The sequence below is a fragment of the Homo sapiens genome, chromosome 4, assembly GCF_000001405.40.
Source record: "Homo sapiens chromosome 4, GRCh38.p14 Primary Assembly".
In the NCBI taxonomy this organism is placed as follows: domain Eukaryota; kingdom Metazoa; phylum Chordata; class Mammalia; order Primates; family Hominidae; genus Homo; species Homo sapiens.
Window position 1 is genome coordinate 185,316,932 of NC_000004.12, and position 27,578 is coordinate 185,344,509.

The 27,578-nt window shown below is 39.2% G+C and overlaps 1 protein-coding gene and 1 long non-coding RNA gene across 9 annotated transcripts in view, besides 6 other annotated features; one reads left to right on the forward strand and one right to left on the reverse strand.

The window, feature by feature from the left end:
- The window catches only part of SNX25 (sorting nexin 25), a 174,406-nt gene that overhangs the window by 112,695 nt on the left and 34,133 nt on the right, over positions 1-27,578 (forward strand). For 7 of the 8 annotated variants that reach the window (NM_001317781.2, NM_001423234.1, NM_001378032.2 and 4 more), the window contains 5 exons: positions 3,802-3,933; positions 6,597-6,869; positions 15,664-15,828; positions 22,448-22,579; positions 25,045-25,185. In NM_001317781.2, coding sequence (NP_001304710.1) covers positions 3,802-3,933; positions 6,597-6,869; positions 15,664-15,828; positions 22,448-22,579; positions 25,045-25,185 — 843 coding nt within the window. The remainder of the gene's footprint in view (positions 1-3,801; positions 3,934-6,596; positions 6,870-15,663; positions 15,829-22,447; positions 22,580-25,044; positions 25,186-27,578) is intronic. The other variant, NR_186775.1, reaches the window with a different exon arrangement.
- Positions 1,663-2,328: an enhancer, noted in NCBI's record as "OCT4-NANOG-H3K27ac hESC enhancer chr4:186239748-186240413 (GRCh37/hg19 assembly coordinates)". NCBI's record gives its function as "activates a minimal SCP1, AML or CMV promoter by ChIP-STARR-seq in primed H9 embryonic stem cells {active_cell/tissue: H9 hESC(primed)}" and the evidence as "EXISTENCE:reporter gene assay evidence [ECO:0000049][PMID:30033119]".
- Positions 1,764-2,058: an enhancer, noted in NCBI's record as "tiled region #12245; K562 Activating DNase matched - State 5:Enh". NCBI's record gives its function as "activates a minimal TATA promoter and a strong SV40 promoter by Sharpr-MPRA in K562 cells {active_cell/tissue: K562}" and the evidence as "EXISTENCE:reporter gene assay evidence [ECO:0000049][PMID:27701403]".
- LOC124900827 (uncharacterized) lies at positions 7,920-25,056 on the reverse strand. Its single transcript, XR_007058416.1, has 3 exons — positions 24,980-25,056; positions 16,495-16,589; positions 7,920-8,008 (listed from the first exon to the last, which is right to left on the reverse strand). It is a non-coding gene; the product is annotated as an uncharacterized LOC124900827 (long non-coding RNA).
- Positions 12,844-12,893: a silencer, noted in NCBI's record as "silent region_15852". NCBI's record gives its function as "represses an Ori minimal core promoter by ATAC-STARR-seq in GM12878 lymphoblastoid cells {active_cell/tissue: GM12878}" and the evidence as "EXISTENCE:reporter gene assay evidence [ECO:0000049][PMID:35858748]".
- Positions 12,904-13,103: a silencer, noted in NCBI's record as "silent region_15853". NCBI's record gives its function as "represses an Ori minimal core promoter by ATAC-STARR-seq in GM12878 lymphoblastoid cells {active_cell/tissue: GM12878}" and the evidence as "EXISTENCE:reporter gene assay evidence [ECO:0000049][PMID:35858748]".
- Positions 24,824-24,873: an enhancer, noted in NCBI's record as "active region_22257". NCBI's record gives its function as "activates an Ori minimal core promoter by ATAC-STARR-seq in GM12878 lymphoblastoid cells {active_cell/tissue: GM12878}" and the evidence as "EXISTENCE:reporter gene assay evidence [ECO:0000049][PMID:35858748]".
- Positions 25,254-25,373: an enhancer, noted in NCBI's record as "active region_22258". NCBI's record gives its function as "activates an Ori minimal core promoter by ATAC-STARR-seq in GM12878 lymphoblastoid cells {active_cell/tissue: GM12878}" and the evidence as "EXISTENCE:reporter gene assay evidence [ECO:0000049][PMID:35858748]".

A 27,578-nucleotide genomic window follows, 5' to 3' on the forward strand; every position in this document is an offset into this window, starting at 1 on the left:
ATTATTGGTCTGAAATATTTATAGAAACGAATTATTAATGGTCTGTAGCAAGGGATATCCAAGTCCTTAGTTACTAGGAGCTGATAGAAAATGCCTTCCCTGGCAGCCTATAGAATGGGAGAAAGTTTTTGCAATCTACACATCTGACAAAGGTCTAATATCCAGAATCTACAAGGAACTTAAACAAATTTACAAGAAAAAAACAACCCCATCAAAAAGTGGGCAAAGGATATGAACAGACATTTCTCAAAAGAAGACATTTATGTGGCCAACAAACATATGAAAAAAAAGCTCATCATCACTGGTCATTAGAGAAATGCAAATCAAAACCACAATGAGCTACCGTCTCACACCAGTTAGAATGGCGATTATTAAAAAGTCGGGAAACAACAGATGCTGACGAGGCTGTGGAGAAATAGTAATGCTTTTACACTGTTGGTAGGAGTGTAAATTAGTTCAACCGTTGTGGAAGACAGTGTGGTGATTCCTCAAGGATCTAGAACCAGAAATACCCTGTGACCCAGCAATACTGTTACTGGGTTTATACCCAAAGGATTATAAATCATTCTGCTGTAAAGACACATGCACTTGTATGTTTATTACAGCACTATTTACAATAGCAAAGTCATGGAACCAACCCAAATGCCCATCAATGATAGACTGGAAGAAGAAAATGTGGCACATATACACCATGGAGTACTATGCAGCCATAAAAAAGAATGAGTTCATGTCCTTGCAGGGACATGGATGAAGCTAGAAAACGAAACACCACATGTTTTCACTCATAAGTGGTAGTAGAACAATGAGAACACATGGACACAGGGAGGGGAACATCACACACTGGGGCCTGTCGGGGGGTGAGGGTTAAGGGGAGGGAGAGCATTAGAACAAATACCTAATGCATGTGGGGCTTAAAACCTAGATGACGGGTAGATAAGTGCAGCAAACCACCATGGCACATGTATACCAGAAACTTCACATTCTGTTCATGTATCCCAGAATTTAAAGTAAAATTTAAAAAAAGAAACGTACTGGAAAATCTGAATAGACCCTCTGCTGGAAGCATTATGAAAAGTAAATAAATGGATATACTGCATCATCCTCAGAAAAAATAAAAAAGAAAGAAAATGCCTGCCCCCTTCTGCCCACAAAACAGATTAAGCAGGGGCTCATTGTTGGTGTCAGAAGAGTTGAGTGTAATACACTGATGGTATGCACTTGATTTTAGAAATATCTTACTGGTGACATTTCTGAAAATTTGCCAACTCATAATTTTAAGAATTTCAAAATGTAAGTTTTTATTTAATTGCATTTGAATTCTACTAATTGCATGTAATTTTTTATTACTAATTCAGAACTAAGAATATAGGCCTTAAATTCCTCCTAAATTAATGTGAGGCATTTTTCCTAATTCATTGTCACGAATTATTATGAAGGTCATCTGCTGTATTACAGCAGTCCATACTCGATTGTTCCTTCTGTGTCTTCAGATAGGTTCTTTTTCTTTTCCTGTGAGTATGTAAAACAGCAAACAAGTAGATGGGCTTATTTTGGTACATCCATACGGAGGAATTTTATGGGCTTATTAAAAGGATGCTTACAGGAGATTTTTTTAATGAATATGGTTGATACTGTAAACAAAAAGGCAGGGTATAACATTATTTGTAGATCCCTCCAATAGATAAAAATAAGATGGAAAACAAAAACGTGAAACTATTAGATCCCAGTGTCCTTGTCTTTTATACATTTCTCTTCAATTTTTCCATTATTGGCACTTACTATTTTTAGCATAGAATGTGCATCCCATAGGGTAGGGATTTTTATCTGTTTCATTCCTAGAACTGTACCTGATACCAAGTAAATGCTGTGAAAGGAAGATAAAAACTTAACACCCTAATTCACGATGCCAAATGAAAAAAGTTAAGCTGAAAGCTGAGTCATGCAGGAAGCTGTCTTTCCTTTTGTTCCTCAGCAGAAGCTACAGATAGAAGGTTCAATATCTCCACAGGTAGCTACTCTGTGTTTGCCTTATCTTATGTAAAGTACAGAGGATTACATAATTGACTGTTGCCCTGCCTGCTCCTTTTTGTTTGGAACACGTGGATTACCATACTCTCCTCCTTTCCCCTCCAGCCCACTTTTCCCCTTTATTTTATTTTATTTTTTTTATTTTTTTTTTTTTAAAGGACATATCATATTTATTCATACACATGCTGGAATTATTGGTGCAGACATTTAAATACATTTTCTTTGAGAAAGTCCTTTTTTTTTTTTTTTTTTTTTTTGATGGAGTTTCCCTCTTGTTGCCCAGGCTGGAGTGCAATGGTGCAATCTCAGTTCACAACAACCTCTGCCTCCTGGGTTCAAGCAATTCTCCTGCCTCAGCCTCCCAAGTAGCTGGGATTACAGGCATGCACCACCACGCCCAGCTAATTTTTTTTATTTTTAGTAGAGACGGGGTTTCTCCGTGTTGGTCAGGCTGGTCTTGAACTCCTGATCTCAGGTGATCTGCCCGCCTTGGCCTGCCACAGTGCTGGGATTACAGTCGTGAGCCACCACAGCTGGCCTGGGAAAGTCCATTCTTTTTTTTTTTTTTATCACTTTTCCCCTTTAAATATTGAAGCACTCAAAGTCATCTTTGGAGAAAGGCACAGACCACAGACTGTTTCTGTGACTCCTTGTTTATTTCTTCCAGGCATGTCCTTAATCTTGGCAAAATAAACTTCTAAACTGATTGAGACCTGTCTCAGATACTTTCTGGTTTACAATGCCAAATAAATCTTTGTCCAGTGAGTGAATGGTTAATAGGAAATTGGTATTTTTTCAGTATGTGCATTTTAAATATTCAGTAAGCTTTATTCTATTTAAAATGTAGTAAGAGGTATTTCAGTTTACCAGGAGTACTATATTACATCAACTCTGACCTTAAAAAATGCATGTTTTCAGCTCAGCATCACTGATCATTAGAGAAATGTAAATCAAGACCACGATGAGATACCATCTCATGCCAGTCAGAATGGCAATTATTAAAAAGTCAAGAAACAATGGATGCTGGCAAGGCTGTGGAGAAATAGGAACGCTTTTACACTGTTGGTGGGAATGTAAATTACTTTAACCATTGTGGAAGACAGTATGACGATTCCTTGAGAATCTAAAACCAGAAACACCATTTGACTCAGCAATCCCATTACTGCATCTATACCCAAGGGAATATAAACCATTCTGCTATACAGACACTTGCATGTGTATGTTTATTGCAGCACTGTTTACAATAGCAAAGTCATGGAAGCAGCCCAAATGCCCATCAGTGATAGACTAGATAAAGAAAATGTGGTACATATACATCATGGAATACTATGCAGCCACAAAAAGGAATGAGATCATGTCCTTTGCAGAGACATGGATGAAGCTAGAGGCCATCATCCTCAGCAAACTAACACAGGAACAGAAAACCAAACACCACATGTTCTCACTCGTAAGTGGGAGCTGAACAATGAGAACACATGGACACAGGGAGGGGAACAACACACACCAGGGCCTATTGGGGGTGGGGGCAAGGGGAGAGAACTTAGAGGACTGGTCAATAGGTACAGCAAACCACCACAGCACATATATACCTATGTAACAAACCTGTACATTTACTTAAATAAATAAATAGTAAATTACTACAATAAAATTTTACTTTATTCCTTTAAAAAATGCATTTTTACCCTAAATGTAGAAATCAGTCCATTGGAAGTTAAAGCAAACTGACATTTAAAATTCGATTTTAAAAAAAGTTTTCTTAAATTCTCTTAATAGATTCTTCAGTTTGAAGATATCTTGGCCAATACGTTCTACCGAGAGCACTTTGGAATGTACATGGAAAGGATGGACAAAAGAGCTCTGATTAGTTTTTGGGAATCTGTGGAACATTTAAAGAATGCTAACAAGGTAGTATATGTAGGCTGAAAGGAATATTAATCACTAGCTGATGTAAACTTGGCATGTGAGGCAGCATGTCTGTTTTTCTCAAGATAAGTATACATTAAAAATATTTTAAACCAAATATAATACTGACATTATGTTCTAGCCCATAATGGCAAATAAAATTACATTATATTTTTACAGAAGATTCTTTTGAATGTGTAGTCAAGGGAAAAAAGGTTTTATAAATGTACCAAGAGATTGAATTTAGTTTTGGGTATTTTTTTTACACATTGTAAAAAGACATATACATATCCACATTACTATTATAATGAATTTGGCCCCCTCACCTACACTTCAGTCTCATAATCTTGCCATTTATAATATCATAATGTGCATGTTTTATACTTTGCCTTTCATTTCAATTTTTTTTTTTTTTTTTTGAGACGGAGCCTTACTCTTTTACCCAGGCTGGAGTGCAGTGGGGCGATCTCGGCTCACTGCAACCTCAGCCTCCCAGGTTCAAGCGGTTCTCCTCCCTCACACTCCCGAGTAGCTGGGATTACAGGTGTGTGCTACCACACCCAGCTAATTTTTGTATTTTTAGTAGAGACGGGGTTTTACCGTGTTGGCCAGACTGGTCGCGAACTCCTGACCTCAGGTGATCTGTCCACGTGGGCCTCCCAAAGTACTGGGATTACAGTCATGAGCCACCGCAGCCAGCTTTTATTTCAATTTAAATATGAATAAAGGAAAATAAAATTATTTTGGGGTACACATACATCTTACAGTGAAGATCCCAATAATCAGCATCATGCTTTGCATTTGGCAATAAATATTTAAGAATTAAGTGTACACAGTCTTTATGTATACAGTCAGCCTTCCTTATCTGTGGGTTCTATATCTGTAGATTCAACCAACCATGGACTGAAAATATTTGGGGGGAAAAAAACTGCATCTGTACTGAACATGTACAGACCTTTTTCCTTGTCATTATTTCCTAAAAATACAAAATCAGCCATTTACGGAGCATTTACGTTGTATTAGGTATAAGTAATCTAGAGAGGATTTAAAATATATGAGAGAATGTACATAGTTACACGCAAAAACGCTGCACCATTTTATATCAGGGACTTGAATGTCCTCGGATTTTGGTATCTTCAGGAGATCTTAGAACCAATCTTCCATAGATCCCGAGGGGCAACCGTATATGTATGTATATGTCTGTAAATGTACACAATAATATCTATAACATGTGACATATGTGATCAGTATATACTATTGTAAGAGGTTTATTAAAATAAGTACCAAGAGGCTGGATGCGGTGGCTCACGCCTGTAATCCCAGCACTTTGGGAGGCCAAGGTGGACAGTTCACAAGGTCAGGAGTTCAAGACCAGCCTGGCCGACATGGTGAAACCCTGTCTCTACTAAAAATACAAAAATTAGCCAGGCGTGGTGATGTGGGCCTGTAATCCCAGCTACTTGGGAGGCTGAGGCAAGAGAATTGCTTGAACCTGGGAAGGTGGAGGTTGCAGTAAGCCGAGATCACGCCACTACACTCCAGCCTGGGCGACAGCAAGATTTGGTCTTGGGGAAGGTGGGGGGGAAGCACCAAGAGCATATTGTACACTGAATTACTCATTTTCATATGAATGTTGCCAGAATAGACTGCCAAATATATTGTAAGTCACAAACTATATTTGTTAAGGAACTAAATCCAGTCCTATAGTGTCTTTAAATCTTTTATTGTTAATTTACAAGCCCCAAATTACCTAATTTTATCCAATATTGTAGTTGCTAACTCTATTACTCATTTTATTCACCAGTTTTGACTCCACATAACTTCTGGTTGTTCTCAAAGGAATATTGTAAAGAGCAATCTAAAAAGGTTTTCCTAAACTATGGAAGAGAATTTGAAATATTTCAATGGAGTAAGAGCAGCTAGCTTCCTCGAAATAGCCTTATTTTGATCTAGCAACATTGATTTGGATGTTAACATTCTGGGATGTATGTTAAATTAGTTATGTTCATTAAGTTGTATGCCTTTGCTCTTTACTATTGTTGAAAACTGCGTAACATTTCTAGAGTTAATGTAATGCCTCTAGAGGAACTGTAAAGATTATGTTAATCCAAAGAGATGTTTTGCATTTCTGAAGTAGGCTGGTGATGACACAGGCTCATTGCTGAAGACAAAGCTGTCTAATATAAGCTTGACTAGGACATAATCATTCTGAAGTAGTCATTCTGAAGAGTGTTTTTCTCGTTTTTCTGAGTTACACAATTATTATATTGACTTCTTTCTGGGATGAGAAATGGCACTTCTAGTTACTTATATTAGGTAAAAAGTTAAATTGACATTAGCTAATACATTTTCTTCTTGTGGAATTGAGATTTATGAAAAGGAATCTATTGCAGGAAGAGAACTGTTCTTATTCTGTTTTTGCCCCCTCCAGTGTTTAAAATAAATTGCAGGTGTTAACTGTTCAACATGTTCATTTAAAGAATTAGTTTTTTTTTTTTTAGGATCTGACATTTGCTCCTTGACCCTGAATATGGACACAAAATTCTACATACCAGGGTGCATCTTAAATGTCTTTCTTCTGACTTTCAAATGCAAATAATTCAGAGAAAAATAATTTCTCTCAGAGATGATATGTCTTACTTTTCCTTATCTTCCTGTCTTTTCAGAATGAAATTCCACAATTAGTTGGTGAAATTTATCAGAATTTCTTTGTGGAGAGCAAAGAAATATCTGTGGAAAAATCACTTTACAAAGAAATTCAGCAGTGTCTTGTAGGAAATAAAGGTATTGAAGTATTCTACAAAATCCAGGAAGATGTTTATGAGACCCTAAAGGATAGGTATTACCCTTCATTTATTGTCAGTGACCTGTATGAGAAATTGTTGATAAAAGAGGAAGAAAAACATGCCTCACAGATGATTTCCAACAAGGATGAGATGGTGAGTCACATTTAACTTTCTGCTCCTTTTTATTGGATAAGCTTTTAAATATGTTTAAGTGGGTGCATATTGTGTGAGCCAAATTTGATGCACATCTTCATCTTTTAATATACAGGACCTTAAATAGAATAAAAGTAGCATCGTTTAATATACAAGACCTTAAATAGAATAAAAAGTAAGCATCAATAACCTTGTCTCTGGTTGTATGTATTTCTTTCTTCCCCTTTTATCCTCTGACATACATCTTCCCTCATGCTGGCATTGAGTCAGAGACCTCCTGCCCTCTGTCTGTTTTAGATACACCTCTGGTCTGACTCCTGAAAAGTGAGGGCAGAAAGTCTGTAGGGTGGGACATTTATGGGTTAGACCAGCTAAGAAAATCAGTAGAACTATATAGCCCTGGAAGAGAGAAGGGATGGGGAAAAAATGAGGAGAGGTAGGGAATGTGGGAGAAGTTAAAGGAAATATTTTGGAGTTTAAAGAAGGCAGAAGAAATTAAAATGCTCCAAAAGAAAACTTCCTAATGTAAGAGTTAAATAAAGAGGAAAGAAACACGAAAGACAGGTTTATTTTGGAGAATAAACCTGAGAGGGGCTTCTGGCCGATTTCAGTCAGGAGCACTCTCTCTTACAGACTAAAGAGTATTTATTGGTTTTAGGGTGAGAGAGCTTATCACAGGCTTGGAATGTTTCTGTGTGGAGGAGAAGTTTATTGCAAGGTTGGAATGTCTCCGATCAGAGGGGAGGTTATCTTGGGGCTCACATCTCTCTGGCTGGAGGGGAGGTTATCTCGGGGCTGGCTTGTCTCTGGTCGGGGAGGGATTTATCTTAGGGTTGGAACGTTTCTAGTTGGAGATGTCATTTGTGGTTTATGGTCTTACTGACTTCAGCTATTAGGCTGATGCCCTTTGGATTTAGGTGGTTTTTGATCAAGGGGATCTTTAGAATGGCGGTGCTTGTCCAGGATGGCGATGCTCCTGCTCTGTCAATCCAGACCCTTAAAAAGGACAAGGGGCAGCGTGTTCCTTCTGGCTACTTCCTACTGATGAGGGGACGGAGAGTTTTCTGGTCTTGGATTGACTGTAAGAGTAATGCCGTCTGTAGATGTTTTTGGGTAGTTGCTGTGAAATAGCTGTAATCCTGTCATTTAAAAATTTTTGAAAAAGGTTAATTAGGCAGGGTAAGAACATTAGTCCTAGGCATATTATTAGGAGAGAGCCCAGGAATGGGATCACCAATGCTATGATTTTGTTTCCAAACCAAGAATCTGTTTGGTTATTTTGGTATTCCCTTAGCTTTTTAGCCCTTTCTTTAAGTTTTTCAGCAGTGTCTCTTACTAGGCCCAATTGATTGAGATAGAAACAACATTCCTCACCCAATGAGAGGCAGAGGCACATGTTTGGAAAGGTCCATGTGTAATTTTCTGTTAGTAACCATTATTAAAAGACAAATCGCCAGGTGCAGTGGCTCACGCCTGTAATCCCAGCACTTTAGGAGGCTGAGGTGGGTGGATCATGAGGTCAGGAGTTTGAGACCAGCCTGGCCAACACAGTGAAACCCCGTCTCTACTAAAAATACAAAAAATTAGCTGGGTGTGATAGCATGCGCCTGTAGTCCCAGCTACTTGGGAGGCTGAGGCAGGAGAATCACTTGAACCCGCGAGGCAGAGGTTGCAGTGAGCCAAGATCGTGCCACTGCACTCCAGCCTGGGCGACAATGTGAGACTCCGTCTCAAAAAAAAAAAAAAAAAAAGACAAATCATGGTAGGACTGATTTGCTGTATTATATTGGTTTAATTATTTGCATACAGCGCAGTAAGAAGAATTATTTATTAAATAGACCTTTTAAATTGGCTTTGATGAAACTTTGTTCTGCAGAAGGAATCTGAGATAAGACCTTTTTAAAGCCAAGCCCAGCCATGGATTTGTACTGTCAGATAACTATGAGTTGGGTGATTTTTCTCCTCTTGAGATTCCAAGATAACTTGGGGTTCCTGGCCTGTCAAAAAGTGACATTCTTTACTCATCACAGATCAGAAACCCTGTACAGGGACTGTGTACACAAAATATGGGGCCAGTTTTCCAAGGGCTTTATTGGCTTCATAAGTCAAGTTTGATTCCTTAAAGGAAGGCACACCATTCCAGTCGAAGCATGGGTAAAAATAACCAGTTTTTCCAGTTGTGTCCTGTTACAAAAGAAAACAGATTCTTATTGCACTTATGCAAATAACTATATTGCCATAACTTAAGAATACTCAGAGATGGTTTCCAAATTCTGGAGAAAGTCAGGTAGAGAGAAACAAGTATGCTCCAAATTTTGTTCATGGGAGTATACTAAATTGTTGAAAACTGTCAGTAGCCCAAAAGAAAAGTTACTTTGACTTTGAAAAGCAAAACAAAGGATTAGCAATATTTTAAGCAAAACGTCAGAAAGGTCACTCCAGTCTCCTGTTAGTTCAGTTCGTGCAGTTAATTCCTGTCCTGCTTGACATTAATGAACATTTTAGCTATTCAAGAGTCCTGAACATGTTTCCTCTATTCTGATGTCACAATCTCCAAAGTTATCAGAAACCTGCATTTGAGAGCACCTGTTAGAGCTTTATAGCTGATTATAAAACCACCTTCTAAAGAGGACCAAAACAAGACAACAATTGTTTATGGATGACCAAAAGTTTTAGGGTAGCCATAGTTAAAGACACAATTGACAAGGAAATCTGTTACCTGTGTGGCACAAAATAATTTTAACATAACAATTATAATTACTACTGATAACATACATTAAGATATATCAGAATTATAGGCGTCTCCCAAAACGTTGGAACACATACCAGTAACTTATTTATACAAACATAGCCCAAAGAGAGCCGAACACCATTTTATATTTGACAATTCTTCCTATATGATTTTATACCAAATAAGCCAAATTTTACTTTTATATTAGTGTGCTATTAATGTTAAACTCAATTTTTAATAAACCTGTAGACACATTTACCCTATTTTAATGTTTGACCACAAGTTAAGATTTTTATAGACCCTTTTTAACCCTTTATAATTTTTGTTAAAGAGCAGGTTAGTGCTTTAAGAAAAACCTGTTGTGCTTTTATTTTAATGCTCAATTTACAGAAAAACTGGATGATACCCCTTCAACTTTAGCCAATATGTTTACACATGGAATTTCCTTTACAATTAACCTTCCAAAACTTGCTTAAACCTTCATTTTTATTTTATTCAACTTAAAACAATTCTTTAACCTTTTAATCTAGGTAAAAATCCACATTCTTATGCCTCCTTATAATCTTTTTACCAAAAGTATACGTAAAATGTTTTTTCAATAGTCTTAAATACATGTTACACTGTTAACTTTTAGCAACCTTTACTTTTGTTGGTAAGTTTGGGATTTTAATTATGTACTAGGTGGAGAGCCTAGGACCTAGACAGAAATGCAGATAAGGTCTGACTTACTCCAGCATTTAACTCCATGTCTCCTGGGCCTTCCCTAGCTGCAAAGCAGGCAGGTTGTACAGCTAAGAGTTATAGTAGCATTTTATAAAGCATTCAGGAGGCTTAATCACTTTTAAATTGTACAACATTTGTTGTATGAATTCCCTTTTATAAAATTTTTCATGACTTACACAGACAATCTCTGACATGCCTCAACTTTCTCATTTGTTGTAAACATCCCTCTCTTTAAACAACCAGTTAATTTACTTTAGGACAAGAATTTACCATATAAGATAATTTTTTATATAAATTATCTTTTCTTTAATATCTTTTGCATAGCTAGGGGGTATGGCTAATTTCACATGTCCCCAGGCCTTATCTGTTTTTGTTTATTAACTTGGTTTACAGTTTAGCTTTGAAACAAAGATGGTAACAGTCCTTTCACAAAACAAACTTCCTTCATGTCTGTGGACTAGACTGCCTAAGGCCACCAGATTAGAAGTTAGGGTATTTCATTAAATAGTTCAAGATGTAGTTAACTTTATTAAACCAATATTAATGTTTCATTTATTAAAAAATTACACAAGCAAAGATTATTCTGTCTGGGCTGAGTTATAATTTTGTAGCCTCTATGCCAAATTTTGACACTTTATAGTATTCGGCAGAGATAAGTATGAAATTGCTTGATCGATAAATGCAAACAAAAATGTATGCTGGCAGTTCTTAAGACATTTCTGATCTTACTGTACCAGTAAGTTTTAGTCTCGTGAACTGAAAGATCCCATAGCTTTTACTTTTCCCTTAAAAATATTTGATTTAAGCACTTATTTTTCTTAGGCCAATTAATTAGAGTTCTTTTAATAGACATTGCACACAACACATGTATAGCCACACAGGCAACCAGAAGAAGATCCAGTAGTTATAAGATTTTTTTTTTCTAATTTCCCAATTGGATTATTGGCCTTTGGGTGAGGCCCTTTAAGAACAGGGCTAGGAAAACAATTTCCAGGGCCTAATAAACAAGTATAGCTGGAAGACAAAGACAGATTTTGAGAGGTACTTATTCACCTCTAATTCCAGGGGTTCCATAAGGAAAACAGATTTTTTCCCAAAACGGGATTTGTGGCACTTTTTCTGTTTTCCCAAGGAGCCCCAGGCCACCAGGTGTCATTTTAGGGTCTTTCATACGTGCACCAAGAGTGGCAAGACAGAGTGGAAAAAAGTAATTCAGTTGACTAGGAAAAAACCTTTTTCAGGAAAACAAGATTTATGAAGAGGAAAACATAAAGGCCTTTTGAATATACTCGTAGCTTGGATATCCATTTTAATTAAGCTGAGCGCTTTCTTATCAGGGGTGAGGGTGGAGGTTAGAATTATATAAATGTCATGCCAAGTTAAATTAAAGGATTGGGTTATGTGTAGGAATTCCCTGTGATAATGAGAGGGATTTTCAGAAAAAGATCCCAGATGCTATTTGATCTGCGACAAATCAAACATGGAGAAAGGGACATGAACGCGAGCAGTGCCTTTAGCCCCAGGCGCTTCCTGGAGAGGGAGAATGGCGGATTGACTGGTTGGAGTAGTTTTTGAACAGGTAACAGGTAGAGAAGGAGGAGGAGCAGGATTTGGGACTGAAGGCTTGGGGGCAGGAGGGGCCACCAGATTGGAGGTTTGAACAGGCGAGGAGCAGATGCAGGGAAATGAGAATACGGAGGGGGTTCATCTGCAGGCTCAAAAGGGGTTTCCAAGGAAGGGGTTTCAAAGGAAGGAGTTTCAGAGGAAGGAGAGACCCGGGGAGGGTTTTCATTAAGAAGAAGGATTTCATGAGGGGTGCAAGCTTGACATAGGGAGGGTTGGGATCTAAGGTAGAAAAGAATATAGACAACTTCTTGCCATTTGCTATTCGTGGTTATAAAGTTGTCAAGGTCCCTGAGAATTTGAAAGTCAAAGGTGCCGTTTTCAGGCCATCGGTTGTCATTATCTAATTTATATTGGGGCCAGGCTGTGTTGCAATGAAAAACCAAACGCTTTGGCTTTATGCTTCTTATAAGCCAAATTTGGTTAGGTTGTGAAGGAGACAGCTCAGTGGAGAGGATGTGGGAATGTGGGATTGTTTGGCATCCATGTGGACTGGTGAGAAGAGGCCGAGGGTGTCTGTTTTTGTTCCAGGCATCCCCAGACAAAAGACAGAGACCCAGCGTCCTCTTTCCTAAAGAGGACGGTTAAGCTAAGAAGAAACTGGGCATCCCCAAGATTTCTTCTAGCTTAGTCCTACTGGTCCTCTGAGGATCAGGACAGCAGACCTGACTTTCGTGGGTACCGCTTGAAAGCCTGGGGAAGGCAGATTTTACGAATCGGCTGGATTAGTGTCCGATGTTGGATGTTCCAGTTGGAATCAGCAAAGGGCCTCTTGGATTGGAGCCGCATGAGGAAGACAGACACAGAGAGAGAGAGAGAGAGAGAAGAGAGGATGAGGGAGGAGGAGGGGACAAAGGTTAGAGAGCTAAATACCCATTGTGGGCGGTCAGAGGTGGATTCCTGAGACCTGAGGGTTTTAAGAACCCACCTGTGAGTAGCCCCAGCCTGAGCCTCACAGTCCCCTTCAGGTTAGTTGTCTTCCTCACGCAAATCACTCGAAAAGTGAAGTGAGAGACAAGACTGGGTGGGTGGCCAGAGACTCTCAGGATCTAGTGGGATGGGCTGCTGCTGCCCACTGCTTCCTGGGTTGTGAGAGAGCCTCTATCCCCAACACCCATCCTGGGTATCAGCATCAAATGTAAGAGTTAATGAAAGGAAAGAAGCACAAAAAGTGGCTCAATAGTCAAAGACAGGTTTATTTTGGAGAATAAACCTGAGAGGGGCTTCTGGCTGATTTCAGTCAGGAAAACTCTCTCTCTTGCAGACTAAGAGTATTTATTGGTTTTAGGGTGAGAGAGCTTATCACAGGCTTGGAATGTTTCTGTGTGGAGGAGAAGTTTATTGCAGGGTTGGAATGTCTCTGGTCAGAGGGGAGGTTATCTTGGGGCTGACATCTCCCTGGCTGGAGGGGAGGTTGTCTTGGGACTGGCATGTCTCTGGTCAGGGAGGGATTTATCTTAGGGTTGGAATGTTTCTGGTTGGAGATGGCATTTGTGGTTTATGATCTTGCTGACCTTAGCCATTAGGCTGATGCCCTTTGGATTTAGGCAGTTTTTGGTCAAGGGAAACTTTAAAATGGCGGTGCTTGTCCAAGATGGCGATGCTCCTGCTCTGTTAGCTAAGCCACACATTAAGTCTAGTTTTCTTATAGCATATGCAATCATTTTGGATAGCTCCAGTTACCACCTCTTATTTACTGTTAGTGACCCCTATGAGTTTTAAGGTTTGTACGAAGAGAAACAAATTGTTTTATAGTCATCTTACATAGAAAGATTATGATTTATCGTGGATTTTTTCTTTCTGCCCAGTTCACTATCTCCAGCCCTGAGGACTCAAGTGCTTGCTCTTGATGGTATTAGAAGTCATCTAATTGAGGTCTCTGAACTGTTGGTTGTCTGAACTTCATATACATTCTTTTTTTTTTAAGTTTTGTTACTTGGTTCTTTACATATAAAATCACTGAACTGATTAGTCCAAAACTATTTATTGCATTTTATTTTTGATAGGTCACAGTTTGTTGTATCTATGTTATCTCTGTACTTCAGAAATTAAGATAGTTAATTTTACAGCAAATGCCGTAAAAGAGGTTATTCAAATTAATTAAAATATCTATACTCAGCAGATAAATTGAATAAGGATGTGAACTGACATTTGATGTGAGGTAACAATAAACAAATAGGAAGAAATGTCTACCTTCACCTCGGATTCAAAGAGGGCTGATACATAACTGACCTTTCCAGAGCTCCTACTCTTTGTTCCAATAATCTCTAGAAGTGGGAACTTTTGGAAATTTATCCTAGGAAAATAATTAAAATGTAGAAAAACGTTTATGCATGATAGTATTTGTTTTTGTACATATGGGATAGCAATGAAGCAGAATCAACCTATTACAGGAGCATCATTAGGAATGCGCCTCATAAATTCTCAATGCCATTGTTATTCTAATTATTCTCATACAATGCTGACGTAAAAATGATACTTTTGAAGATGATAATACCCTCAATGCCCAGCATTGTACGTTATATGAAGAAGGCAGAATACCCATTCAAATGAATACAAAGTATGAAATTATATATCATTTTATATAACTATTTATAGACAACCAGTTAAAAGAACATATGGGCCGGGCACAGTGGCTCACATCTGTAATTCCAGCACTTTGGGAGGACGAGGCAGGTGGATCACTTGAGGTCAGGAGTTCGAGACCAGCCTGGCCAACATGGTGAAACCCTGTCTCTACTAAAAATACAAAAATTAGCTGGACGTAGTGGTGGGCTCCTGTAGTACCAGCTACTCGGGAGGCTGAGGCAGGAGAATGGCTTTGACCCGGGAGGCAGAGGTTGCAGTGAGCTGAGATCACGCCACTGCACTCCAGCCTGAGCAACAGAGTAAGACTCTGTCTCAAAAAAACAAACAAAAAAACCCATGACAACAGCCTATTTTTCTATGACCATTGGTACTTTATTTTTCCTTGAAAACATTTTAATTTACTGTTTGTTACAATTACGAAAAGCTGGAACAAGAAAACCTGGAAGAAAGTTAAGGATAAACCAGAAGCTAGATCTCAGCAATTCTCTGCAGTGCCCTGCATTGCTGTTGCTGCTCTTGAATCTAATTCATGTGCTGTTGGGTAATCTAGCAAGACTTTTCCAAGTTACAGAGTTCTTATGAATATTAAGTCACTTTCAAATGCTATTTTACTTGTAAAATAATATACCTATTGATTTGTAGAATATATCAGGAGAAGGACTGAACAAAGTATATACTGAAAATACTTTCACTCATGGGAATATGGTAATTTTCTTTTAGAGGGGCTTGCATGAGTTTTTAATAATAGGAGACTGGAAAGAACCCAAATGTCAGTCTTGGTTGAACATTAGGTACAGAATATTCAGGTTGAGTTGGGAAGATAACTGAGTTGCCGTCCCTTGTTCTATGCAGATTTCCTTAGAGGTACCACTTGGGAAATAATGGCATGGGATTTCCCCTCCTTTCTTTAAGCTATAAAATGTTTCCGTTTTGCAATTCTGAACGCCATTTACTTTGGTTCCAAAGACTTTGATTTTTCTCTTTGCTGAGAAAAAGCAGTCTAAATTTTCTACTTTAGTATTCTTTCCTTACTGGAATGTAGTATTTTGCAACAGGGTATCGTGACCGATAATAATTACTGAATTTTCTATCATTATAAGATATGGTGGTATGTGACTCTCCCCCTAGGGCCCAAGAGATGAGGCTGGTGAGGAAGCCGTGGATGATGGTACCAATCAGATCAATGAACAAGCCAGTTTTGCTGTAAACAAACTGCGAGAACTAAATGAGAAACTTGAATATAAAAGGCAAGCTCTAAATTCTATTCAAAATGCACCAAAACCTGACAAGAAGGTAACTCTTTGCTTTCAAGGTTGTCTTTGAAAGTTAACATTTGTCTAATTTGGTAGTTTTCAGTTGAGGTTGAGAAGTGTCAGTTTCTTTTAAAATAATTTTAACCATGAACAAGTTCCATTGTTATTTTTTTGCTTCTAGGATAGAATTAGAAAAGCATTTGTTTTTAATCTCTTATGGTTTGGAGTTCTTTCTCAGTTTCAACTGTGAGCAACTCTGTTCTTTACATCTGCTTTGCCTACAGGGCCTTTGGAGAAGGGGCAAAGCTTTCTCTTGTGCCAGGGTCATTTCTGGAATTTAATTAAATACTCAAGGACAATCTTTTGAATAAAAAAAGATGTTTTCTTTCAACTGCTGCAGGTGCAATTTAGGGAACCTTACAGTATTGTTCAGGAAATACATTGTTTTGCTAGAAAGCAGCAATTTGAAAGTTTAAAAATGTAAACAGCATTTCACTAATTGGCCTTTCTCAAACCCAAGCTGTGGTGTGGCTTTTTGCTTTGTGTTTTGCTCTTTAGAATTCAACAAGGAGGTTTCTCTCATATAGATATGGCTGATGCTCTTTGATCTGCCAGATTGGTCTCTGGCACTTTCTGAATGTGTGTTTGAGGATTTCAAGCGGTCAACATGAAAGCAACTTAGAATAAAGCAATTTCAGTGACTCACATTGGGTTTTCTGTGAGCAGGTGCCCAATCCTATTGAGTCTTCTTTAGTATTCTTTTTGTGGACATTCAAATGCTTTTATAGTAGGAGAATATTCCTGAAACAAGATGTAAGAAAAACTGGTATCATGAGCCTATCAGCAATTTACAATTAAAATATCTATTCATCTATAATCCAGTTACTGTCTAGTTAAACAGTGAGTTTTCTTTAACAAAGAAAAAGCAAAAAAGAAGAAGGAAGAAAGTCCTGCAAAGGTGTGTTGTCTTGGTTAGTAGTAATGTTTTTACAAAATTGTGTAGGAAGAAGTTTAATGTGAGCATCACTTTAATAATTGTTAGTGATGGGCTGGCTGCACAATGGCTCATGCCTGTAATCTTTGGGAAGCCGAGATGGGTGGATCGCTTGAGCCCAGGAGTTTGAGACCAGCCTGGGCAACATAGGGAGACCCCATTTCTAGTAAAAATAAAAAAAAAAATCAGCCCAGCATGGTAGTGGATGCTGGTAGTCCCCAGCTACTAGGTAGGCTGAGAAAGGAAGATCTCTTGAATCTGGAAAGTCAAGGCTGCAGTGAGCCGTGATCATGTTACTGCACTCCAGACTGGGCAATAGTCTCAAAAAAAAAAAAAAAAAAGTGGCTAGGCGCGGTGGCTCACACCTGTAATCCCAGCACTTTAGGAGGCCGAGGCGGGTGGATCACTTGAGGTCAGGAGCTCGAGGCCAGCCTGGCCAACATGATGAAACCCTGTGTCTACTAAAAATACAAAAATTAGCCAGGCATGGTGGCATGCATGGTAATCCCAGCTACTCAGGAGGGTGAGGCAGGAGAATCTCTTGAACCCGGGAGGCAGAAGTTGCGTGAGCCAAGATCATGCCACTGCACTTCCAGCCTGGGTGACACAGCAAGACTCCATCGATCAATCAATCAATAAAAAATAAGAGAGCGTTAATGGTATTCTGAAAAGGAAACAAATGGCCAGGTTTCCTGGATTGTCATCAGAAATAGTTCATTCTCCCCCTTATGTGGAGTCACTCCCATTTACTACATACAGAACTCGAAAGCCTGATAGTCTTCCCAGTGACAAGAACATGTCTGAGATGATAAACAGAATTCGCTGGCATGGCAGATAATCAGTATCTGCAATATGGCATGTTCTTTAAGAACAGTTGTCTTATTTATTCTGGATTCATCTCATTATAAATTAAAATGCATCTATGGGTAACAGTATGAAAGATGAGTTAGAGAATATTCATTGAATTATTTTCTGCTTGGTTTGTTTGAAAGACATTATTCAGCCTTTCTTAAAATAACTTCTGATAACCATGGAATAAACATTCTTAGCTACAATTATATGAAAGAATTCTCAAGAAACTTGGAGCGATTCACTGGTACTGTGGCTTAACTTGAACTCTACTCTCTGATCTACATTTGCTGTGTAATCAGATTGTCCACAGGCTGCTCACGGAGCACTCTGCTTCTGGCAGTTGTGCACAGGGCTGAAAGGGCTCTGAGGATGGAAGGCAGCTGATCCTTCTCTCCAGAAGAAGACATAGTCCTCCTTTTGTCGTTTACTTATGTTGGTAAAAAATTAATAATTTTTTTAAAAACTTAAGATTGGCCAGGAGTGGTGGCTCATGCCTGTAATCCCAGCACTTTGGGAGGCCAAGGCAGGCAGATGACCTGAGGTCAGAAGTTTGAGACCAGCCTGGCCAATGTGGTAAAACCCCGCCTCTACTAAAAATATAACAATTAGCCTGTCGTGGTGGCGGGTGCCTATAATCCCAGCTACTCGGGAGGCTGAGACACGAGAATCACTTGAACCCGTGAAGTGGAGGTTGCAGTCAGCCGAGATCACGCCATTGCACTCCAGCCTGGGCAATAGAGTGAAAAAGTCTCACACACACACACACACACACACACACACACACACACACACAACAAAAACAAAAAACCTTAAGATTGATGTTGAAAAAGGTTTTGACAATCTAGCAATTAACATATCCCACCCCCAAAATCTTGTAATAGTAAGACTTTTCTGGATTAAATATCTAATTATTAATCAGATCATTTTCCTGTGAGACATAGTGGTGCAGACTTCTCCTCAACACAGAATGCCAGTGGTTTGCTTAACCCTTCTTCTCTCACAGATCTCTGTACCAGCAGTGTAATTAGCTACTGGGTGGTAAAATTAGCCTTTTAGTTTGATTCCTGAAATTTACTGCCTAGGTTTTTTTGTTTTTTGTTTTTTGCCTCCACAGAGATTTTGTGAGTCTGGAGCAAACTGTCCAATTCTAGGGTAATATTGGGAGTAAACCATTAACCATGAAGAATCTAAGTAACACAAGTGATGAGTAAATGCATGGTGCTGTGCGAGTCACTGTGAAGAATCAGTGTAACATAGAGTGACACCTGCCCTCAAGGAGCAAATATGCTGGTTATGGAATTAAAACAGACATGAAAATAAAATGATCACAGTACTTATTGATGTTAAAATGCAGGACAATGGCATAGGCAAGGAGTGCTTCCTGTAGGCTTTCTGAGGAAGGAAAGAGCCCTTGCACACTGCATATTCAGGAGAGTTTTGGAGCAAAGCTGCTGTCCTCAAACTACAGAGTTACATAACCCTATAGGCTTTCTCATAAAAGAGATCTGAAGAGATGGCGAGCATAGCATTTAAAAGATATTATTTATTTTTGTAAATTCTGGTAAAGTATATATAACAACATTTACCATTTTAGCTACTTCTAAAAATTTATTTTTTATTTCAATACGTTTTTAGGGAGCAGGTGGTGTTTGGTTACATGAATAAATTTTTTAGTGGTGCTTTCTGAGATTTTGGTATACCTATCACCCAAGCAGTGTACATTGTACCCAGTGTGTAGTCTTTTATCCCTCATCCCCCGCCAACCCTTTCCCAAGTCCCCAAAGTCCAGTGTATCATTCTCATGCCTTTGTGTCCTCATAGCTTAGCTCCCACTTATGAGTGAGAACATACGATGTTTGGTTTTCCATTCCTGAGTTACTCCACTTAGAATAATAGTCTCAAATTCCATCCAGGTTGCTGTGAAGGCCATTATTTCATTCCTTTTTATGGCTGAGTAGTATTCTGTGCTCTATACAGACTACATTTTCCACTTGTTGATTAATGGGCATTTGGGCTGGTTCCATATTTTTGCAATTGCAAATTGTGATGCTGTAAACATGGCTGTGCAAGTATCTTTTTTGTATAATGACTTCTTTTCCTCTGAGTAGATCCCTAGTAGTGGGATTGCTGGATCAAACGGTAGATCTTTTAGCTCTTTAAGGAATCTCCATACTTTTTTCCATAGTGGTTGTACTAGTTTACGTTCCCACCAACGGTGTAAAAATGTTCCCTTTTTACCACATCTACTCCTACATCTACTATCTTTTTATTTTTTTATCATGGCCATTCTTGCAGGAGTAAGGTGGTATCGCATTGTGGTTTTGATTTGCATTTCCCTGATGATTAGTGATGTTGAGCATTTTTTCATATGCTTGTTGGCCATTTGTGTATCTTCTTTTCAGAATTGTCTATTCGTGTCCTTAGCCCACTTTTTGATGGGATTGTTTATTTTTTTCTTGCTAATTTGTTTGAGTTTTCTGTAGATTCTGGATATTAGTCCTTTGTTGGATGTATAGATCATGAAGATTTTTTTCCCACTCTGTGGGTTGTCTGTTATTTCTGCTGATTATTTCTTTTGCTGTGCAGTAGCATTTTAGTGTTTTGCAACTGTCACCACCATCCATCACCAGAACTTTTCTCATCATGAAAAACTGAAACTATTAAACAATACCTCCCCATTTTCCCCTCCCTCATGCTCTGGAAAAACCATCATTCTATTTTTTATCTCTATGAATTTAACTACTCCAAGTACCTGATGTTAGTGGAATCACACAACATTTGTCCTTCTGTGACTGGCTTTTTTCACTTAGAATAATGTCTTCAGGGTTCATCCATGTGGTAGCGTGTGTTAGAATTTCATTGCTTTTTAAGGCTGATCATATTTCATTACATGTTTATACCACATTTTGTTTTGCTAACTATTTATCCAGCAATAGACACTTGATTTACTTCCACTTCTTGGCTATTGTTAGTAATGTTACAATGAATGTGGGTATGCAAATACCTCTTAAAAAGATCTTGCTTCCAATTCTTTTTGGTATATACCTAGTAGTAGAATTGCTGGGTTCTATGCTAATTCTGTTTTTAATTTTTTGAGGAATCATTAAACTCTCTACCACAACATCTATACCATTTTACATTCCAACTAGCAGTGCACAAGGGTTCCAATCTCTCCATGTCCTCCCTGCCAACACTCGTTATTTTCTTATTTCATAACCATTAGGATATTTCTTATTTCATAACCAATTCATCTTATATTTCTTATTTCATAACCATTAGGATAGTAGTCATCCTACTACTATCTTATTAAGGTGGTATCTTATTTTGGTTCTGATTTGCATTTCTTTAATGATTAGTGGTGGTGAGCATCCTTTCATGTCCTTATTGGCCATTTGTGTATCCTCTTTGGAGAAATGTCTATTCAAATCCTTTGTGCATTTTTAAATTGGGTTGTTTATGGTTTTGTTGAGTTTTAGGAGTTTTCTATAATCTGGAGATGAAACCTCTGTCAGAGAGGTGATTTGCAGATTTTTTAAATATTTCGTGGTTTGCATTTTTACTATATCAATAGTGTTCTTTGATGCACAGAGTTTTTAATTTTGATGAATTCCAGTTTGTCTATTTCTTCTTTTGTTGCCTGTGCTTTTTGTGTCATAACCAAGAAATCATAGCTAAATCCAATGTGATGAAACTTTCCCTCTATATTCTGTGTGTTTTTTTTTTTTTTTGAGACGGAGTCTCACTCTGTTGCCCAGGCTGGAGTGAAGTGGCACGATCTCGGCTCCCTGCAACCTCCAACCCCTGAGTTCAAGCGATTCTCCTGCCTTAGCCTCCTGAGTAACTGGGATTATAGGCGCCGCCCCCAACCCCCTCCACCACACCTGGCTAATTTTTATATTTTTAGTAGTGACAGGGTTTTGCCATGTTGGCCAGGTTGGTCTCCAACTCCTGACCTCAGGTGATCCACCTGCCTTAGCCTCCCAAAGTGCTAGGATTACAGTTGTGAGCCACCATGCACGGCACCCTATATTCTGTAAGTTTTATAATTTTTAGCTATTTTGTTTCGATCTTTGATCTACTTTAATTGTTATATATAGGGTTAGGTGGCAAGGATCCAGCTTCATTCTTCTGCCTGTGAATGTCCAATTTTCCCAACATGATTTGTTGAAAACACTGTTCTTTCCCTATTGAATGGTCTCGACACCCTTGTTGAAAATCACTTTACCATATATTATTTCTGGGCTATATTCCCTTGTTCTATATGTCTGTCTTTAAGCCAGTACCACACTGTTTTGATTATTGTAGCTTTGTAGTAAGTTTAGAAGTCAAGAAGTCTGAGTCCTCCAACTTCGTTCTCTTCAAAATTGTTTCAGCCATTCAGGATCTCTTGAGATTCTATATGGATTTTAGAATGAATTTTTTTTTTATTTCTGCAAAAAAAAGTTATTGAAATTTTGTTGGGGATTGCATTGAACCTGTAGATTGCTTTTGGTAGTACTGACAGCAATATTAATTCTTCCAATCCATGAATATGGGATGTCTTTCCAGATATTTGTCTTCTTTAGTCTCTTTCATCAGTGTTTTGTAGTTTTCATTGTAGAATTATTTCGCTTCCTTGTTTACATTAATCCCTAAGAATTTTTTTAATGCTATTGTAAGTGGAATTTTTTTCTTAATTTTGTTTTTGGATTATTCACTGTTAGTGTATCGAAACACAGCTGATTATTGTGTGTTGACTTTGAATCCTGCTACTTTGCTGAATTGCATAGTTTTAAGTGTTTTCATAACTCCCAGGATATTTTCCCTGTGGCAGATTGTTTCCAAGTTGAAGGATGAAATAATCCTAATAGAGAAAGAACGCACAGACCTTCAGCTGCACATGGCAAGAACGGATTGGTGGTGTGAAAACCTTGGCATGTGGAAAGCCTCCATCACCAGTGGAGAGGTAGTTTTGACTGCTTTTCCTCTTAATTTATTTTAAAAGTTTGACTTTATTAAAAAAGATTTTATCCTGAAGAATGAAGATTGAGGGTAGAAAACTTACACTCATTCTTTTAGACCATATTTGTCCTACCTTCCTTCCCCCACAATTTTCACTCCGGTTCACTCATGACTGGGAACTATACAAGGCTGCTTGGTATAGATCTGATCTCACTCCACTTCAAACAGCAAGTTCTTCCTGTTCACTGGAATTGAAAGCAGCTTTAATGTCCTTGAATTACCAATTTATTTTTCCATTAAGAGTTGAAATGAAAGCACTTTTTGAATCTTGGAGATGAAAAACTAAAAATGTAAGTGCATCTGATAGTTTCATCCTGCCAACTTCAATTGCTTAAATTTCAGTATCTCTAAAATCTTCAATGAATATGTTTTTTGAATTATTTTGCTGTTTTTTTTGAGGGATATGAGATAAGAGTTTGTAGAATATACTGTATCCCTTTTCATTTGTCTATAAAAATAATTTCATTTAGGAGGAAAGACGCTTATAGGCGTTTATGTCATTACTGTTGACAACTTCCTTCTCCCCTGCCCTACTGTCTGTCAAGTGGAAACCTGGAGATGAAAGTCATATAATGTCATTTGCATAACCACATTATAAGCAAATATCAAGGTCCTGAGCAAGAGAGTGCTTTTTTTTGTCCTCATTGGTATTTAATATGGCTTATCTTTGTTCTTCCCTGCCTTTCCCTCAAGCCAGTGGCTTGACACTCTTACAGGGGTTGGGAGAGGGTCAAAATTCACGACCTTAAATTTATCTCTAGGTTGGATAGCAAAACAAAGCATGTTCTCCAAGACCTACCCTGAAGGGACACACAGTACATGAGGGCCTAACCAGGTGCCTTCTGTATGTCTTTGGCACTTGCTGGTGCTCCCATTAAGCTAAGCTGCTGAACAATACACATTTCTCCATGGAAGGCAGAGAGCAGTGGATCAGGGAAGGTCATGCCCAGCCTCAGACTCCCACATAGAAACCCTCAGTAACTGCAGATAGTTACTGTTTGGGTGGAACTGTAGGAAGGTAATGGACTCAGGGGAATGTAATGGCAAAAGCTGCTACAAGAGGCTGCTGGAGGACAGAATACAAATTCTGTTACCTCCTCAGTTTTGCTTAGAGCTGGCCCTGACACTTCACAGTGTATTAAAATCATCTTCCAAAGGCAGATATTAGGGGGAGCAGAAAGGGAAGGAAGGAGTGGAAACCATCACAAGGGTCTGTGCCCTGGCCGTCAGTTGCTGCTTGCTGAAGCACTCTGGCTGGTGAAAAGATAGTGGAAATGGGAAAGGGGCACCTGACGTCTAGAGCTCACGAAGCAGTCCCAGAAAGGTGCGGAGGATGCATTTTCATCAAGCTGGACGTGCCTGTATTCTGTGCTAGCTGACTCATCAGAGGTGTGGTCCTAGGAAAGTCAGGGACCCTGTCTGTGCCTCTACTTCCCTATCCTTACAGTGGGGTGGTAATCCTGCCTCACAGAGTGGGTGCTCAGTAAACCTCTCATCTCTTTCCCTGGCCTTTCTTATTGACTCCTTCTCTCTCATTCAATTTATGATGCTAATTCAAGCTCAAATTCAATGTATTTTCTATTGTTTTCTCTTAGCTTCTTATGTTAAGTATAGTAGTGGCCTATTCTGGATTAGTGTGTGTGTATGTGCACGTGTGCACGCATGCACACATACAATATCTCAGTTGGGAGGTAAAGGAAATTATATCTCCCAATGTAAAATTTAATGAGAATAGAAATCAGGGCTTGTTGGATCCTGAAATTAAACTGGAGGTGCCCCCATCCTTCTCTGAGAGAGTTTCTGATGTATTTGATGGCTGTTTGCTTGCTGTTAATTTCTTTTCAAAGTAACACAGGATGAGCCTGCTGTATAGTTTTCTTTTGCTGTGTAACACATTTCATGCTTAAAGCAACACCCATTTATTGGTCACACCTCTGTAGGTCTGGAGTCCAGCACAGGATGCATTGGCTCCCTGCTGATTGTATCACAGGCCGAAGTCAGTATGTTTCCCAGACTAAAGTCTTGTCTGAAGACTCAGTAAAACCCACTTCCAAGCTTATTCAGATTGTTGGCAGAATTCAGTTCCTTTGGTCATAGAACTGAGATATCTGTTTTCTTGCTGGTTTCCTTCTTGGGATTTGAATCTTTCTGACTTCCTTTCGTATCACTGGCTAGCAAAAACTCTTTGCTTTTAGGTTAGGCCCACCCAGGAAATCCCCCTATTTTAGTCTACTATGCCATATAATGTATCTTAGTTACTAGAATAAAATCTATAATATTCACAGTTCCAGGGATCCTGCAAGGTACATCACGGGGAGGGAAATCTCCTTAGGGGGACACTTACAGATCTTCCTTCTGCATCCATTCACCATGCTTTTTGTAAGTATCGATTTTGATGTTTTCCCCAAGGTTACAGAAGAGAATGGTGAGCAATTGCCATGTTACTTTGTCATGGTAAGCCTACAAGAAGTTGGAGGAGTTGAAACTAAGAACTGGACGGTCCCCAGAAGGCTCAGCGAGTTTCAGAATTTACACCGGAAACTCAGTGAGGTATGAATACTCATGAACGCAGTATTCTAGAATTACTGCACAAGAGCTCATTTCAATTTTACACATAAGAAAGCTGATTAATCTTCTTCCTTTGCTGTTGATACTGGCACAGTGGCATTTTCATCCTGACATTTGGAAATTTACTCATAGATCAAACCATCTAGTCTAGCCTAAGTCCATCAGGACAGATAACGGTCTGATTTTCATTGTAAATTGCCAGAGAACCCTAGAGCTGGAAGAGACCTAAGGATCACCTAGGTATCTCACAACTGGCAGCTGCCGATTGTGATATCTTGATGGTAGTGAAATCAGTTGTGAGTTGCAGCAGTAGAAAGAATGAGCTGCATTGGATTCTATCACATATACAAGGGAGGCAGTAAGGTGCGGTGCTTGGAGGATTCTATCACATATACAAGGGAGGCAGTAAGGTGCGGTGCTTGGAGGATTCTGTCACATACACAAGAGAGGCAGTAAGGCGCGGTGCTTGGAGGATTCTATCACATATACAAGGGAGGCATTAAGGCGCGGTGCTTGGAGGATTCTGTCACATACACAAGGGAGGCATTAAGGCGCGGTGCTTGGAGGATTCTATCACATACACAAGGGAGGCAGTAAGGTGCGGTGCTTGGAGGATTCTATCACATATACAAGGGAGGCAGTAAGGTGCGGTGCTTGGAGCACAGCCTCTAGAACCAGACTGCTCAGCTCTGACTCTCAGCTCTACTCTTCATGGCTGTGTGACCTGGAATTTATTTATTTATTTATCTATTTATTTTTATATATATATTTTTTGAGACGGAGTCCTGCTCTGTCGCCCAGGCTGGAGTCCAGTGGCGTGATGTCAGCTCACTGCAACCTCCGCCTCCCAGGTTCAAGCGATTCTCCTGCCTCAGCCTCCCGAGTAGCTGGGATTACAGGCATGTGCCACCACACCCGGCTAATTTTTGTATTTTTAGCAGAGACGGGGTTTCACCATGTTGGCCAGGCTGGTCTCGAACTCCTGACCTCGGGTGATCCACCCACCTCGGCCTTACAAAGAGCTAGGATTATAGATGTGAGCCACCTTGCCCAGCTGACCTGGGATTTATCACTCACTTGCTTTTTGTCTCTTTTTCATCAGTGAAAACGAATACTAATAGTGCCTACCTTATGGGGTTGTTATGAGAATTAAGGGAATATATGTATATAAAGCATTTATAAGAATGTGTGGCACATAGTAAACATCATTGTGTTTTTTGGTAGTAGCAGTAGTAATGAGCATTGTTTCATAGACCTTTGGTTTCAGTTTTATTTATGTATATGTATATATGTATGTGCATTATGGATTGCAATGTAGCATGCATTTCCTACTGTGAGTTTCAGTTAAAATGTTTGAAAGCCACTAATCTAGGTTAATTCTTTTATTTGAGAGAGGAGGGAAACCGATCCCAGAGCTTAACTGACTTGTCATAGGACATGTACATAGTGGCTAAATCAAGATTATTAATGGAATCTTACTTTTAGATTATTCTTCCTACTTTTCCTCAGGAATTGCCATCTTCTCTAATTCTCCTTCTACTATGGGTCATTGCCTTTTTTCCCCAGCAGTGAACAGTTCTTCAATTATTTCTACTTGAATTTAGGTCCATTTTTCTCTTGCTTAGCGTGAACTGATACTGGTGAAACTATAACTGTCAAAGGGTCCAGCTGCTTGCTGCTTGTAGAAAGAAGCCATCATAATAATAACAAGAGTGAGGCGTGACAAAAAGAGAGTGAGATTTTACTATCCATGCTAGCAAGGGGAGGAGTGGGCAAAATTCTTTCTAAAACTTTCCACCCTCAGCCAGGCATGTTGGCTCACGCCTGTAATCCCAGCACTTTGGAAGGCCGAAGTGGGCGGGTCCCTTGAGGTCAGGAGTTCGAGACCAGCCAGGCCAACATGGTGAAACCCCCATCTCTACTAAAAATACAAAAAATTAGTTGGGTGTGGTGGTGCACGCTTGTAGTCTCAGTTTCTCAAGAGGCTGAGGCAAAAGAATCACTTGAACCTGGGAGGCGGAGGTTGCAGTGAGTCAGGATCATATCACTCCACTCCAGCCTTGGCAACAGAGCAGGATTCCATTCCAAAAAATAAAAATAAAAATTTCCAGCCTTCAACTGTGGAGGGAACCCAGGGGATTTTAAAGAGAGGGTTTGGAATGCAGAAGAGGCAGCAGGTCTAGGGAGTGTCAGATGGTGTGATCTGCCCTGATGGCTCGTCTTGAATTATTGTTCCATCTGGTGAAGCATCCGGCGCCACTGTGGCCAGAGGTGTCTGGTCCGTATCAGGATCTGGCCCTTGAAGCTTCTAAGGAAATAGATGACCAGATAAGGAGCGTGGTGTGCGCTTAACAAGCATGTGGGTAAATCAGTGT